Source organism: Homo sapiens, chromosome 12 (genome assembly GCF_000001405.40).
Source record: "Homo sapiens chromosome 12, GRCh38.p14 Primary Assembly".
Taxonomy (NCBI): Eukaryota; Metazoa; Chordata; class Mammalia; order Primates; family Hominidae; genus Homo; species Homo sapiens.
This window is the reverse complement of record NC_000012.12, coordinates 39,822,974-39,838,662: the sequence shown is the minus strand read 5'-3', so window position 1 is coordinate 39,838,662 and position 15,689 is coordinate 39,822,974. Positions and strand designations below refer to the sequence as shown.

At 36.3% G+C, this 15,689-nt stretch overlaps 2 protein-coding genes across 7 annotated transcripts in view; one reads left to right on the top strand and one right to left on the bottom strand.

The window, feature by feature from the left end:
- The window catches only part of REDIC1 (regulator of DNA class I crossover intermediates 1), a 282,118-nt gene that overhangs the window by 69,638 nt on the left and 196,791 nt on the right, over positions 1 to 15,689 (bottom strand). The window lies entirely within an intron of this gene.
- Positions 1 to 15,689, top strand: part of SLC2A13 (solute carrier family 2 member 13) — a 351,057-nt gene that overhangs the window by 267,419 nt on the left and 67,949 nt on the right. For 4 of the 6 annotated variants that reach the window (NM_052885.4, XM_017018765.2, XM_017018764.2 and 1 more), the window contains one exon: positions 8,435 to 8,560. The exons of 1 other annotated variant lie outside the window; for it this stretch is intronic. In NM_052885.4, coding sequence (NP_443117.3) covers positions 8,435 to 8,560 — 126 coding nt within the window. Of the gene's footprint in view, positions 1 to 8,182; positions 8,383 to 8,434; positions 8,561 to 15,689 lie in introns of all 6 variants that reach the window. One more of the 6 variants, XM_047428235.1, reaches the window with a different exon arrangement.

Here is a 15,689-nt window from a genome sequence, read left to right as displayed (position 1 = left end):
TTCCTTAGACACTAAGCAGCCTTTTGTCCTGCTCTTTTTTACTTTAATTGGAAGCATTTTTAGGTTTTAGAGCCAGTTTTGTTCTAAATATATGAATACTTACTTTTCCCCTTTCTGAAAAGTCAGAGATTTTCTCCCTTTCTTTTTTTTTTTTTTAATTTATTTTTTTTTATTATACTTTAAGTTTTAGGGTACATGTGCACATTGTGCAGGTTAGTTACATATGTATACATGTGCCATGCTGGTGCGCTGCACCCACTAACTCGTCATCTAGCATTAGGTATATCTCCCAATGCTATCCCTCCCCCCTCCCCCCACCCCACCACAGTCCCCAGAGTGTGATATTCCCCTTCCTGTGTCCATGTGATCTCATTGTTCAGTTCCCACCTACGAGTGAGAATATGCGGTGTTTGGTTTTTTGATCTTGCGACAGTTTACTGAGAATGATGATTTCCAATTTCATCCATGTCCCTACAAAGGACATGAACTCATCCTTTTTTATGGCTGCGTAGTATTCCATGGTGTATATGTGCCACATTTTCTTAATCCAGTCTATGATTGTTGGACATTTGGGTTGGTTCCAAGTCTTTGCTATTGTGAATAATGCCACAATAAATATATGTGTGCATGTGTCTTTATAGCAGCATGATTTATAGTCATTTGGGTATATACCCAGTAATGGGATGGCTGGGTCAAATGGTATTTCTAGTTCTAGATCCCTGAGGAATCGCCACACTGACTTCCACAATGGTTGAACTAGTTTACAGTCCCACCAACAGTGTAAAAGTGTTTCTATTTCTCCACATCCTCTCCAGCACCTGTTGTTTCCTGACTTTTTAATGATTGCCATTCTAACTGGTGTGAGATGGTATCTCAGAGTGGTTTTGATTTGCATTTCTCTGATGGCCAGTGATGATGAGCATTTTTTCATGTGTTTTTTGGTTGTATAAATGTCTTCTTTTGAGAAGTGTCTGTTCATGTCCTTCGCCCACTTTTTGATGGGGTTGTTTGTTTTTTTCTTGTAAATTTGTTGGAGTTCATTGTAGATTCTGGATATTAGCCCTTTGTCAGATGAGTAGGTTGTGAAAATTTTCTCCCATTTTGTAGGTTGCCTGTTCACTCTGATGGTAGTTTCTTTTGCTGTGCAGAAGCTCTTTAGTTTAATTAGATCCCATTTGTCAATTTTGTCTTTTGTTGCCATTGCTTTTGGTGTTTTGGACATGAAGTCCTTGCCCATGCCTATGTCCTGAATGGTAATGCCTAGGTTTTCTTCTAGGGTTTTTATGGTTTTAGGTCTAACGTTTAAGTCTTTAATCCATCTTGAATTGATTTTTGTATAAGGTGTAAGGAAGGGATCCAGTTTCAGCTTCCTACATATGGCTAGCCAGTTTTCCCAGCACCATTTATTAAATAGGGAATCCTTTCCCCATTGCTTGTTTTTCTCAGCTTTCTCAAAGATCAGATAGTTGTAGGTATGTGGCATTATTTCTGAGGGCTCTGTTCTGTTCCATTGATCTATATCTCTGTTTTGGTACCAGTACCATGCTGTTTTGGTTACTGTAGCCTTGTAGTATAGTTTGAAGTCAGGTAGTGTGATGCCTCCAGCTTTGTTCTTTTGGCTTAGGATTGACTTGGCGATGCGGGCTCTTTTTTGGTTCCATATGAACTTTAAAGTAGTTTTTTCCAATTCTGTGAAGAAAGTCATTGGTAGCTTGATGGGGATGGCATTGAATCTGTAAATTACCTTGGGCAGTATGGCCATTTTCACGATATTGATTCTTCCTACCCATGAGCATGGAATGTTCTTCCATTTGTTTGTATCCTCTTTTATTTCCTTGAGCAGTGGTTTGTAGTTCTCCTTGAAGAGGTGCTTCACATCCCTTGTAAGTTGGATTCCTAGGTATTTTATTCTCTTTGAAGCAATTGTGAATGGGAGTTCACTCATGATTTGGCTCTCTGTTTGTCTGTTGTTGGTGTATAAGAATGCTTGTGATTTTTGTACATTGATTTTGTATCCTGAGACTTTGCTGAAGTTGCTTATCAGCTTAAGGAGATTTTGGGCTGAGACAATGGGGTTTTCTAGATATACAATCATATCGTCTGCAAACAGGGACAATTTGACTTCCTCTTTTCCTAATTGAATACCCTTTATTTCCTTCTCCTGCCTAATTGCCCTGGCCAGAACTTCCAACACTATGTTGAATAGGAGTGGTGAGAGAGGGCATCCCTGTCTTATGCCGATTTTCTCCCTTTCTGAAAAGAAAGGCTAGAGATTGAAAAGTTAAATATTTCTTCTCTGCAGCTAGTAAGAAAAGAACCATTTGGTTCTAACTGTACTTGCCTGGACTCTAATTTCCTCTATTTGAGTTTCTAATATATCTGCATTCAGTTCCCCCAGCACTCACATCCCACAGTAGAGGAGCATCATTGGCTATTGTCTAATTTCCCCAAGGGAAAGGTGTCTACAATTGAGAAAAATAGTCTGAATTCCAGGCACACTTATTTACTACAAACTCTCTAAATATTGTAATGTCCTTTTACTATGAAATTTTGCAGGCTGTGATTTCAAAGAGAGCTCTTTCTTTCTCTGGCTTTTCTGTGTGGGCCTCAACGAAACTGGCCCTTGCTGCTGTTGTTGCTTTCTGAAAGTGAGTTATCAAAATTACTAACCAATTCCATTTTGGGTGTTAATCAAATATTTGTGGCTTTCACCACGTGGCAATTTAAAAACCAGGCTCAGCTTAAAATACCCTTTGACAATTGGTTTTGCCTTCTTTTTATTTCATTCTGAAAATGACTAATATATTTACGTCAATTCATCTACCCCCTAAAATTATTTTCCATAAACCAAGTACAAACTAGCATATGAACCTACAAGAATGCCTTGATTTCTAGAGCTGTTGTGCATTGGTTAATTCAATAAATATATATTGGTGATCCACCCTGCAGGGGGCTGCATGCTGTTCTACAGATACAGAGTTGGTAAGCATGGCCTTATCCCTTGGGTGCTCAGAATCTATTTTGCTTACCAGTCAGTAAAGAGCATTGTATGTTACAATGAGGGCCATCTCCATCAGCTTTACTAAATGTGGATTAGCCTGAAATTTAAACTGTGTATCAATAAGGAGAACTCCATTTTATTTAATTCATTCCGCAATTCCTTTTATAAAGCATAGTCCTTATGTAAATATCTTCATATTCATTTCTCTTATAAATGTAAAGTTTCTTAATGTAGAGCATACCTATAATTTCTGCCCTTGAAATTAGTATGTAAGAGTAAATGTTTGTGAGAAGTTGCAGCATTCTAATAGGTTTTTACACTGTTAAGGTTTGTGTGAATTTAGGGTTAGATCATAGGTATTTCTGTCTTTTTCTTTCATGTACAATCTTAGAACTGGGTGGATTGTTAGACAATGTGTGCTCTTGAGATAGAAAACTTTGAAGTCTAGAATTTAGACCTTAGTCCAGGTCACACTGTGGAAGGGGACAAATAGGCCTAATATCTGCTTTTCACCAAAATAGACCAAAAGAAAAGATTTTAGTCTATGCTTAGAGTATTCTTATGAGCATTGACTTTGTGCCAATGTATTTAAATTCTCAGTTTTTATATTTAGAAAACCTTACCGAAATTCATCAGGCCACGTTCAAGAAAGGCTTAAAGAGCAAATCTTGAGTGAAAAATGTAATAGCCATTCCTAGAAGTTGTTCCTTTTTAAAAATGCCATTGTTAAAGCTGTCGTTATAATACATGCTCTCTGTAAAAGGTCAATTAGCAGATTCCCCAGGATATTTAAAGTTTTGTGCCACCTTCTAAATGTCAAGTTGAAGTTGGGAATCTTGTAATATTTGGAAGAATTTTGCCATAAAATAGTCTATATGATGAAAAAACAATTCCAGGTCAAGGATGAAAGAGTGGTAGGAAATCTTGTCTTTCCTCCAGAAGACAGAGGCAGATAAGGGCTTAGTCCAGATTAGCACAAATACAGTTCCCACACCGAGCCCCACTCCTTGGAATGGAAAGGAAATTGAACACTTTTTGATACTTGACCTCCTTTCCCTGAACGAAATGGTATGGAGGGGCAGTATGGAGTAGCAGAAGGAATAGTTTTTCATGCTTTTTTAATAAAAGAAAGGCTTTACGCCTGCACATACACTATGGAGTATGTTTTGGGAGAGATTTGAAAGGATAAAGGGAAGAAAATAACTAGTGAGACTTGGTGTTGGTCCTGGTTATGGCCAGAGAAATGAAATTAAAAGTTTGGTCCATGACTTGGAACACTTGTTTTCAGAGCCTGGAGGAAAAGAGGTGAGGACAGATATGGATGTAGAAATCTTTGTTTCTGAGTTTAAATGTGAGAAAATTCATGCCTAGTCCCTTCAGTTTTTTGCTGAGAAGATGTAAGGGAGAAAAAATAATATCTTTTTTTGACCTATCTCAAGAGTCATAATGGGCATTACTGTAACAAAAGAGAGATTAACAAGAGAAAAGCATAACAAATGTATTTAACCAAAGTTTTATGTGACACAGCCTTCAGGCATGAAGATTGCACCCAGGGAAAACTATATATTTTTATGAACAGTTGTTGGAAATAAGAGTGGAGAACAAAAGGGTACGATCTAATAGTAATAACCTGGGAAGAACTCAGTGAGGCCTGTTTGTTCAGATTCTTCTTGGCCTCTGGATATAGAGAAGGAACCCTATAGACTGAGGGTCTTACGACCTACTTTCGGAGGATGTAGGTCAGAGATTTTTTTTTTTTTTTTTTTTTTATGACCATGCTTCAGAGGCAAAAGTGTGGAAAAGATTAGGGTGTGAGCTCCAAGGTGCCATATTATGGAGCAGCATGTTCTGAGCCCCAACAAAGACAAGGCCATCTTCTAAGAAATTTGTGGAGGAATAAGGATTGAGATTTGAAGAGAATTGTGGGTGTTTGGGAAATCTATCTATTATTGGGGACAGGAAAAGTTTCCTGGCAACAGTGAGTATCCAGCCAAGGTTGAAAACTTTGAATGTGTATTTGTATCAATATGCCTGGTTGTGTTATTTCTCTGCCAGTACAGAATAGTCTAGAGGTTGAAAAGTGTTCAGAAAGAGCCAAACATGAAGTTCTGCAGGGTGGCTTTAATAGAGAAACCTAAATATGAAGACATTGAGGATCTGGTGAGAGTGGTTAGAAGGATTCACATGAAGGTTCCATAGAGAGGGAAGCAGAGCCATGGAGTGAGTGAGAGATCAGTGGGGAATGAATGTTGAAGGTCTCTTTGAGGTAGCAGAGCAGTTGTTCTTGGAGTAAGGAAGTTAGGGAATTTAAAAAAAGGGCGAAATATCTCCACAGGGGATCTATATAGGTGTTCTAGATTAGGGATCAGCAAACTTTAAAAGGGCCAGATAGGAAATATTTTCAGCTTTGCAGGCCATATCATTTTTGTTACAACTTCTCAGCTCTGTCCTTAAAGCATGAAGGCAGTCATAAACAATAAGTAAAGAAATGGACATGGCTGTGTTTCTGTAAACCTTTTTTACAGAGTAAGTGGTACGCCAGATTTTTCTCAACAGTTGTAGTTTGCTGATGCCAGGTCATAGATGATAATAATTTCCAGGATGTGGATAAATGTAAGCAGAAGTAAAGACTTAGAAATCAGGGGGCTAAGAAACTTTAAGATGTGTATATTGACTAAAGCCATCTAGATCAGGATTTTTGAGAATCCGTTTGAGGCTGGTGATCATGAATTATAGAAGAGCTACTCATCTGCTCTATAGTGTGACTCCTTCAGCTACATTTGGCTGTGTGGCTGAAGTCACAGATAAGGCAAATGTTTGCATTCATATAGGGCTAGGATTTTTACCAGATGGGTATAATGGAATGATAGAGGAGAAGGGAAATTCAGGATATTGAAATGATGGGAAGTGGTCAGTAAGCTAAAGAAAGGAGAAAACTGATAATAGCAAGTAGAGGGGTCAGTTAACTGGTGATCATCAGGAGGTCTAATACCCAAATCAGCTTCACGAGGGCAGTGACTGTTTTATTCACTCACATGTCCCAGCACCTAGCATAGTGTGTGGCACATAGTAGGTCACAGGAAGATCATTTAATAAGCAAGCAGGAAAAGTGGGAAGTTGGGGTCACGCTTGGATGAGTGGTGGAGGAAGTTATTTGTTATGGATGACATCTCATATGCCTGAAATGCACACACAATAAGTTCTCAGTAATTATTAGCCTTTATCATTATGCTTTTTGAACTTTTCTAGGGACTACATATTTTCGGAGAAATAAAATTGAGAATAATTTCTCTGCAAATGAGTGAGTTGACCTTTCCCAAATGAGTATCATTTAAGGCCATTGGAACAATTAGTATTGTTAAATTTAACTTCATATGGGCAGAATACAAAACAAAATACTAGTAGAAATTATCTCCTTTCCAAATTAGCCTAGTCTGGTTCTCAAAGCCAGACACTCAGTGTACTTACTTCTAAAGCCTTCAGTTGTCTAGTTTAGTGTGCTTATCACCAGTGTGGAAAATTTTATATTTACATTGCTGAATCACCTCTCAGTACATTTGAATGGCCTCTCTTTTGCTTTTTGTCTAGGGCTGAAGTGTCATTCAAAAATAGGGGTGACTCAGGAAGAGTTTACAGGAGGGAGAAGGCTGAAATGATAACAAATCTAATTTTTAAACCATGCCAGTTGTGTTAGTCTGTTTTTGTTGTTATAAAGGAATACCTGAGACTGGGCAATTTATAAAGAAAAGAGGATTAATTGGCTCATCGTTCTCCAGGCTGCACAGGAAGCATGGTGCTGACATCTGCTTCTGGTGAGGGCATCAGGAAGCTTATGGTAGAAGGCTAAGGGGGAACAGCCACCTCACATAGTGAAAGTGGGAGCAAGAGAGAGAAGAGGGAGGTTCCAGGCTCTTTTTAACAACCAGATCTCATGTGAACTGAGTGAGAATTCACTCATCACCAAGGGGATGGCACTAAACCATTCATGAGGGATCTTTCCCCCATGATTCAATACCTCCCACCAGGCCCTACCTCCAACTTTGGGGATTACAATTCAAGATGAGATTTGGAAAGGACCAACATAAAAACCCTATCACCAGTGCTTTCATATTTAGTTACATGAATCAAAAAAGTGTTTTGATTTTGAACATTAAGAAATATTCTTTCATATCCTTTTCAGACAACTTGTATGTCTTTTGGATGTCTTTTTCAGATGACCTATTTCTCCTTTCACAACCCATAGTATCACGACTTGTACACAGTAAATATTTAATAAGTCTGTGCTGACTGATCTTTAATGACAACATAAGCAGTTCTCTGAAATGCCCTTTGCTCTACCTCTTGGCCTGGTAAATTTATTTTATGATTCGGTTTCAATGTCACATTTAAAACGGTTCCCAGCTCTCATCGTTAAAATGAATGGGCCCCTGTTCCAGGTAGCTCATACCCAGTTTCCATTACATTGTCGTTGTTCATCTGTTTCTCATTCTTGCCTTTTATCTACCAAGGAGCAGGGAGATTTGGGCTTATTCATCTTTAGTATCTCTGATACCTTGCATGTGCTTGCCATCTGTAAAGTGCTCCAGAATTTTCTGGCAAATGATTGTGTGACAGGGAGAAAACTCATTCTATAAGCATGATGTAGGCTTTAGTTGGCAAACCCTGCCCTCTAAAGGTTTTTGCTTCTTTAAATTTTTTCTGCAGTTAGAATACTGCTGTCAAATGAGCAATGAGTAACTGATTATGACTTTGTGATCCAATTAGCAGATGTGATTAGGGGATGGTTAGCCTTTGTTTCTATACCTACTTCTTTTAAATTCAGAATAATCCATAATTGATACTCAGTATATCTTTGCTGAAAGCACAGATTTCACCAAGATGTTAACAATGGCCATATTTGAGTAGTAGTATTTTTATTTAACTGTTTTCTTTAGACATAATGTTTTTCGTTGTTTGAATTTTCTTTTTCAGGATATGTATTAGAAAAAAAAACTATTTTCATTTTTTAAAATAGATGGTGTATGAGGTAGACAATTGAGAGAAATGAATGCTTTGATGCAACTTGGAACCAGTCAGGGCTGGATCACAATGAGGCAGTCTACAGTTTGGTAACAAATCTCAGTGGTTTAGGAAAGCAAAAGTTTATTTGCTCCAGATTGATGGGGACTCTTCTACATTCAGTCTCTCAGATCCAAGCCTCCTTCAGCTCAAAGTGACTTCCAAAGTTGCTGTGGCCAAAAGAGGGAGAAATCGAAGAGACCAGCCAGCTCTCACCTGGCTCAGCGCATGTCACTTTCCTTGGCCAAAACAAGTCCCAAGGCCCCAAGCTTACTGCACAAGAGAGTGGAAAATGCAGAGAAGCACATGGAATCCAGTATATGGTGAGCACCAGTTGTCTCTGCCAACATGACGGTAACTCTTTTCATTTTTCAGTTACTGTAATGAATGTATGTTGGATCCAGACTGCGGTTTCTGCTACAAGATGAACAAATCAACTGTCATTGACTCCTCCTGTGTTCCAGTTAATAAAGCATCTACAAATGAGGCAGCCTGGGGCAGGTATATCACTCATTTTACCATACGAATATATAATAATATTTCAAAACGAGGCTTATGTTTAAGTTTTCAGAGTGCTTGCACTTATAGCAGTTCTTTTAAACTGGCCTTCATAACTACATTACTTTGCAGCATATACTGGTGATAGTGGATGCAAAGCATTGCAATTGTGTGTTTCACACAGAGTAGAAAGCACTCAGGCCTAGACTTTTGGAGACCCAGATTTCTCTAATAAGGTATAGGAGTTTGGATCTTTAGTTTTAGGCAGCTATTCACAAATACTGCCAAGGCAATTTCTCCCACTGCATATTGTTTAATTGCACTGTATTTCCAAACTCCCAAGCTTTTAAATGAAAGAAAACTGTAAAGTCAAAATGAATTACTATCACGTTAGGTTGGGCACAGTGCATCACGACTGTAATCCCAGCACTTTGGGAGGCTGAGGCAGGCAGATCACTTGAGGTCAGGAGTTCGAGACCACCCTGGCCAACATGGTGAAACCCCACCTCTACAAAAATACAAAAATTAGCTGAGAGTGGTGGCACATGCCTGTAATCCCAGCTGCTCAGGAGGCTGAGGCAGGAGAAAGGAGAATCACTTGAACCTGGGAGATAGAGATTGCAGTGAGCTGAGATCAAACCACTGCACTCCAGCCTAGACAACAGAGCAAGACTCTGCCTCAAAAAAAAGAAAAAAAAAAAAAAAAAAAAAAAGAATTACTATCACATTACATTCTTTTATGGAACTTTTTTTTTTTATTCTTAGAGGCCTTTTCCAGGGTTCAGTGAAATTAAGCAAAATAAGGATAAAATTTGGTAGTCATTGGCATGTAGCTGGCTTGGGAGGCTAGAAACCTTAATGTTTTTGGTTTGTAGTACATGCATAAATGAAATATTAGTATAAAATAAATATTCTCCAGATTTATGAACTAACATTTATATCCAGACATATAAAATGTGTAAATGTTATCTGATATGGCTTTAATCTATTTTGTGTTTTAAATTCCTATAAAAGAATATTCTCTTATCTTGTCTACTCATAGTACTGATAAAGGCAATGAAATCTGTAATAAAGTATTGTGTCTCATAGGAGCTATAAAGTATAATGCAATAATTGTTTCATTAGAGAACTGCTCCAAAGAAGTAAATTATATGTTAGTTGAGTAAAAATCCAGACCACATTTTAAATATACTAATTACAAAGAAATATGTAAAAGAAATACAATTAGTGTTTTAAATGAACACTCAAAAGAGTTTCTTTTAAAAATACTCAGTTTATAGTTCTTATCAGCCAAATTTTGTTAGTGAGTTAATTGATTAAATATTTCTAGATGTACTTGTTCACAGCTTTAAACCTTTAGAGTTTTGTTTTTGCCAATAGGAAAAAAAAAAAACTAAGTTACTACTAGTCTAGAATTATAAACATGTTATGAAATCTGTTAAAAAAAGAAATGTACATAGTTTCCTGTATTTTACATAATTAATTTATAAACTTATTAGAACTCTACTAAGTAGTAAAGAGACACTAAAATTAGATGTTTCTCTTACCTTCAGTAGAAGAGTTAGAGGTCAGAGGCCTCAAAGCAGGAGTTTTGGCTTTTTTGCAAATAACAAATCATACAACTTTTTAGTAGAAATGTTTATTCCTTTATTTCAGAAAAATTAATTCAACAACTCACTCTTACATTTTATTTGTATTTTTATACCATCATCCTGTAACTGCACATAAATTAGAGAAAAGTAAGGCACAGATAACTAAGTAGCAAAAATAAAAATAACTAAAAAAAAAATGATGTTCACAGCATATCCTTACAATAGTCTCAAACTCTTTACAAAAAAAGAAAGAAAAAAATGTTTTCTTACTCCTCCCTGTGCTGAGCAACGGTGCTCCTTCTAGGTGGACCACTGCTATTGGTTACCTCCTTAGTCTTGGCTAGAAAAGAGCAAAAAGGCAGGATGTGTTCACCATGAAAAATTCTTCAGATAGATTTTCCACATGTAGGTAAAATAATATTCAGTATATATAATAGTATTTTTGTTGGTTGATTGGTGGTTTGGTTGATAGATTTTATACAATTACCTGGAATGGAACTCTAAGGGCAAAGTCAACCATGACCTTGGATTCCCATCTAGAGATATACTATCTCTAGATATTTCAAGGTCGAGTGTTGAGGCAATCCATAGCCATATATCCTGATCTCTAACTGTAGCTGTTTCCTGAAAAGACACCAGGTGGAATGGCAACACCATTAATGATGGAAATAGTATAATAATGTTGATGAACTCTGAATTGTCAATATAATGAAAATCATTTGTACATATAATCAACTATGAGATTAGTTGGAAACAAAACTTCAAAGGTCCATCAGTATGGTTTTCTATATCTATGTTGTTAAATTTCAATGAAAACTTAAAAAAATTATTTAGCAGACTTCTAGAAAATGTAGTAGACTGAGCTGCTGCAGGAAAATCTCCTCCTGCCCATAACCTCCCCCTACACCTCCAACATGCATCCCACACACATACAAGTTTAATGCACAGCAGAACTTGAAAGAAATCCCCAAGCGTCACAAAAGAGTGTAAGTGGTGAGCCCACATGGGAATATTAGAAGCGAATATAAGCCTTACAGGTGAGAGGTTAGAGTTTTTAATGCTGAGTGAGATAAGCTCCAGGCCTTGCCTCTGTAGTTACAAAGCACTATCCAGGTTCTGAAATAGGGACAAGAAAAAATCTGGCTAGACTGGGCTTGGAAAGCTACCTACTTCTCTGCTGCTCATTTGGGACTACAAATGGAAATAATGGTACACATGAAAAAGCAAAACCAAGAGCCTTTGCTATGAGGGAGTGTGTGTTCTCATTTCACACTGCCTTTGTGAAGTGGGAACCATGAGTTGAGAAACGTAAACAAATAAATAAATTGAATGAAAAGTAGGTCCTAAACTGGAGACATCCATAGAGGCATGTTAGGAATCCACATGGAATTATCAGAACCCAGTGTACATGAGATGTCCATGGGAAGCAACTGTTGGTAAATACAGGAGGACAGTCAGAGAGTATCAGGCTGGTGCAAAAGTTAACTGCGGTTTTACCATTACTTTTTGCCATTAAAAGTAATGGTAAAACCACAGTTAACTTTTGCACCAACCTAATAGAAACGACACCAATTATTGGAGGCAAGGAAGCCACCAGGTGTGACAGATGGACAAATGAATACATAAAGAACCTTGCATTGCAAAAAAAAAAAAAAAAAATTGAAAGAGACTTTAAAAGAAATAAAGGAAATAGTGTATTTTTCAATTATACTGAAAGTTATATACTTATGATTGGTGCAGTATATATGTGTATTTTATATGACATATATATGTGTTATAATTCAGCAATTTTGCAAAAAAAAAACTTGGGAAGCTGAAATTTTAGAGAAATGACATAGGATGTGGTATGAGAACTTTTAGAAAAAAGCCTTCTAATGAGTTTTTAAAATTTTTCTGCTTTTTATTTTTTTTCAGAAAGAAATTGAGATTACAATTAGTTTTTCAATTTGTTAAATATAGATGTTACAAGTATAAGAGTAAACTCTTAAAATATGAACTGTTAGAGGGAGAAATAAGAGACTCAAAGTATAGTAAGAGAAGAAGGGGCAAAAAAAAAAACCCAGAAAAATTACATCTAAATATAACTGTTTTTACAATAAAAAATAAACCAATTAAACACAGTTGTAAAAGACAAAGATCTTCATATTGAATTTTTTAATACAGTTGTATGCTGTTCACAGGAGACAGTCACAGAAAGGTTAGAAATACAGAAATAAGAGGAAAGAAAAAATTAGATAAGTACTAAGTCAAAAAAACAAAAACAAGCAGAGACTATTTAGAAAATTTACAAGCTTGATAGGAGAGTCAAACAGAACCTAAAGTAGAGAATGTCATTCTTTTTAAGAAAACATGGAACACTTCTGAAAATTTACCATGTTCAAGCACAAACAGTAAATTCAGTAAGCTTATATAAATGTATAGATATTTCAGTAAATTATAAGTAAATCCAAATAATCAGTATCATCCAGAACATGTTTTCTAATAAAAATGCAATAAAACTACAAAACAACAGAAAGATATTTATCACCCCTTCTAGTTTAGCTGGGAAACTAAAATAAACAAAACACCCAAAAAGCAACTTCAAATTAATTAATAGGTTTAGAAGAAATCACAATGCAAAACAAGATGTTAAAATTAATAACTAAACAGATCCACAAGAGGTTAGAAGTAGAACATAGAGTAAGCCTGTAGAGTTAGCAGAGGATGGGAAGTGCAAAGCAAAGAAATACTCGGAAGGATCAAAAAATAAAAGTTCTTAAAGAAGACTAATAAAATGTGGAAACCTCTTGCAATACTAATCAAGAAGAGAGAGAAGGCACAAACAATATTTAGAATAAAAAAGATGTATAATAATGGATAGTAAAGATTTTTAAATTCATAAGAGAATACTATGAACCGTGTTCTCCAGTGCATTTGAAAACAGATAAATGGACAGTTTTCAAGAAAAAATGTAACTTTCCAGAACCAATTCCGAACCTCTGTGAAGTAAGTGATTTCTATACCCTACTTACAGATGAGAATAGTGTCGCTTAGAAGGTATGAATGACTTTCTCAAAGTCAAAAGGCCAGTAAGTCCACTTCTTATAGGGGAGCAGCAACTGAGTAGTGGAAAGACACACATTTTAGATTCAGATAGTTTCCAATTTCTAAGTTAAAGAAAGTATGTTATTGACAAATCAGGCATTAGAATTTTTTTTCTGTATTTATCTGTGTCTATTTATCCGCCTCCCTACCTCCTGACTCTCCATATATACAAAACCTTAAATAATCTATTCTGAAACTTCAAACCTCCTGACTATTTAAAATAGTATTGCTAATGAGGGACACTTTCTTAATGCGCTGATTCAGTATTTGTTTCCTATAATACAGCACTTTAGCTCTGTAATTAGAAACACTAAAATAGCTAGATAGATTCCCTATTTGGCAATTCATTGTTTACCGTATTCATTCAGCAGAGATATTTTTCTCAAAGCTGCACTCTGATGTAACACCCAGCCTGTTTTCCCAGCATTTCACCACTCTCCCACACAGATTCTAGTCAGTTTAAATCCCTTGTCATTACCCTAATATCTATTATAATTTCCTGTCTCTATGTCTTTTCTCACACTGTGCCTTCTGTCTAGAATTTACCCTCCTTGATCTCTGCCTGAAGTCTATTTTATTTTTTTTGCTCAGATTAGATGTCCCTTTTTCCTTGCAGTTTCTGTGATAAGCCCCAGAAAACAATGCTTATTCTATCTCCTGCTGCCCTCTAGCACTCCCCTGGATGTAGCATACTATGAGAGACATTTCCTGGCTATAAGATGAATGATAGCTGTAAGTCCTACTGGAACACCTCACAGGGCTGACACTATGTGCCACTTAGCAGTAGCAGTGTGAGGCAACCTGGCCTGGAGATTTCCAGGAGACACGTCCACCTCAGTACAGATGCAACTCTTACAAACCTTTAAACAAAGTTACCCTTACAAGACTAGCTTAACCTCCTTTTATGAATGAAAGACCTGGTAACTGACTCCGATTGAACACAGGTATAAGAAAGGGGAAGAATCCCCCAAGCTCTGAGAATAGTCTCCAGATGGAGACCCTCTTGGATGGGTGGTCATCTGACCCCTGATTGAATCTGGCTCATGCCACCCACCTGCTCCCATTATCCAACTTGTAAGAGCGCTGCTAGAATAAACTGCTGATGTTCAATATCAGTCGGTATCTAAGTCTCATCTTTGATGTGAATCAGACCACATTGGAAGAAAAATTGCCACTGGGGAAGCCAGTTAACTAGGACCATTCAAAACCCCTGAATAATGAATGATACCTGTATAGTTTATATGATAATTATATTTTTTATATGATAGCCATCTGTGTTTGAATGTATATTTGCTTCTAGATTATAAATTCTAATTTCTATATTCTGCATTGTTTTTAAACCTTTGGTGTTTTATATACATCAAGTATTCAATCCATACTTATAAAAATATATAAGGGTTTAAAATTATCACAGTTATAAATGAGAGGATATGATGTTCCAGTCACTTCATTTTAGTTACATCTTTTGCATCCATACTTATTTCCAGGAAAGGAAACTTAGGAAAAAATTGAAGTAATGCAATTTACATTAACACAAAGATTTTAATGTTTACCTGTAGTAATAAAAACACTAAAAAACAATTTAAAAATAATACTTAACCATGTGCTTCAGTATATCACTGCAAAAATATTGCTTGGAGCCATACTTTGTGAAAAACACTTCTTAAAAATTATTGGAAGAAGCCAGGTGAGGTGGCACATTCCTGTAGTCCCAGCTACTCGAGAGGTGAAAGCAGGAGGATCACTTGAGCCCAGGAGTTTAAAGCCAGCCTGGGCAACATAGCAGAACTCCGTCTATAATAATAATAATATCATCATCATCCTGGCTAAAGATTATTAGAAGAAATATTCAGCATATTTCCTGAAAATATTCACTGATATGCCAGGGAAGCAGTTCATCTATGGTGATAGCATAAGACCAAATGTATTACAAAACTATATCAAATAGCAAAAACAGAGGGAGTTTTCCTTTGTAACCTCTTTAAAATTTTTGAAAAGAGATATCACTTTTGTATTTAGAAAATGAAATTTATTTTATCATTGACAAACCACATCAGTATCTTAAGGTACTCATGTACAGGATTGATGTATTTTTATCAGTTAGTCACATAAGGGATAGAAAAACCTCCAGCTGTGTTCCTAAATTAATAACAATGTAGCTCAAAGTTAATTTTTACCAACATAAATTTTATAGAGAGAAGTATAGTGTCTGATATAGAATATTTTAATCCATTTGACTTTTAAAATTATACTTTTTTATGTTACTGCTTAAATAGAAGTCATTATGGTAGATTATTCTCTTTAGTATCTGTAGCTGCATGTTATGTGTTTGGAAGTTTCATCTACCCATAAATAATTTCAGAGATCACATGCCTCTAGGCTGTTACTTTTTCAGGTTCAGAAATTTAGACTCCCTTGGATTTAGTGACTATATTGCAGACTCGGATACTATTTAT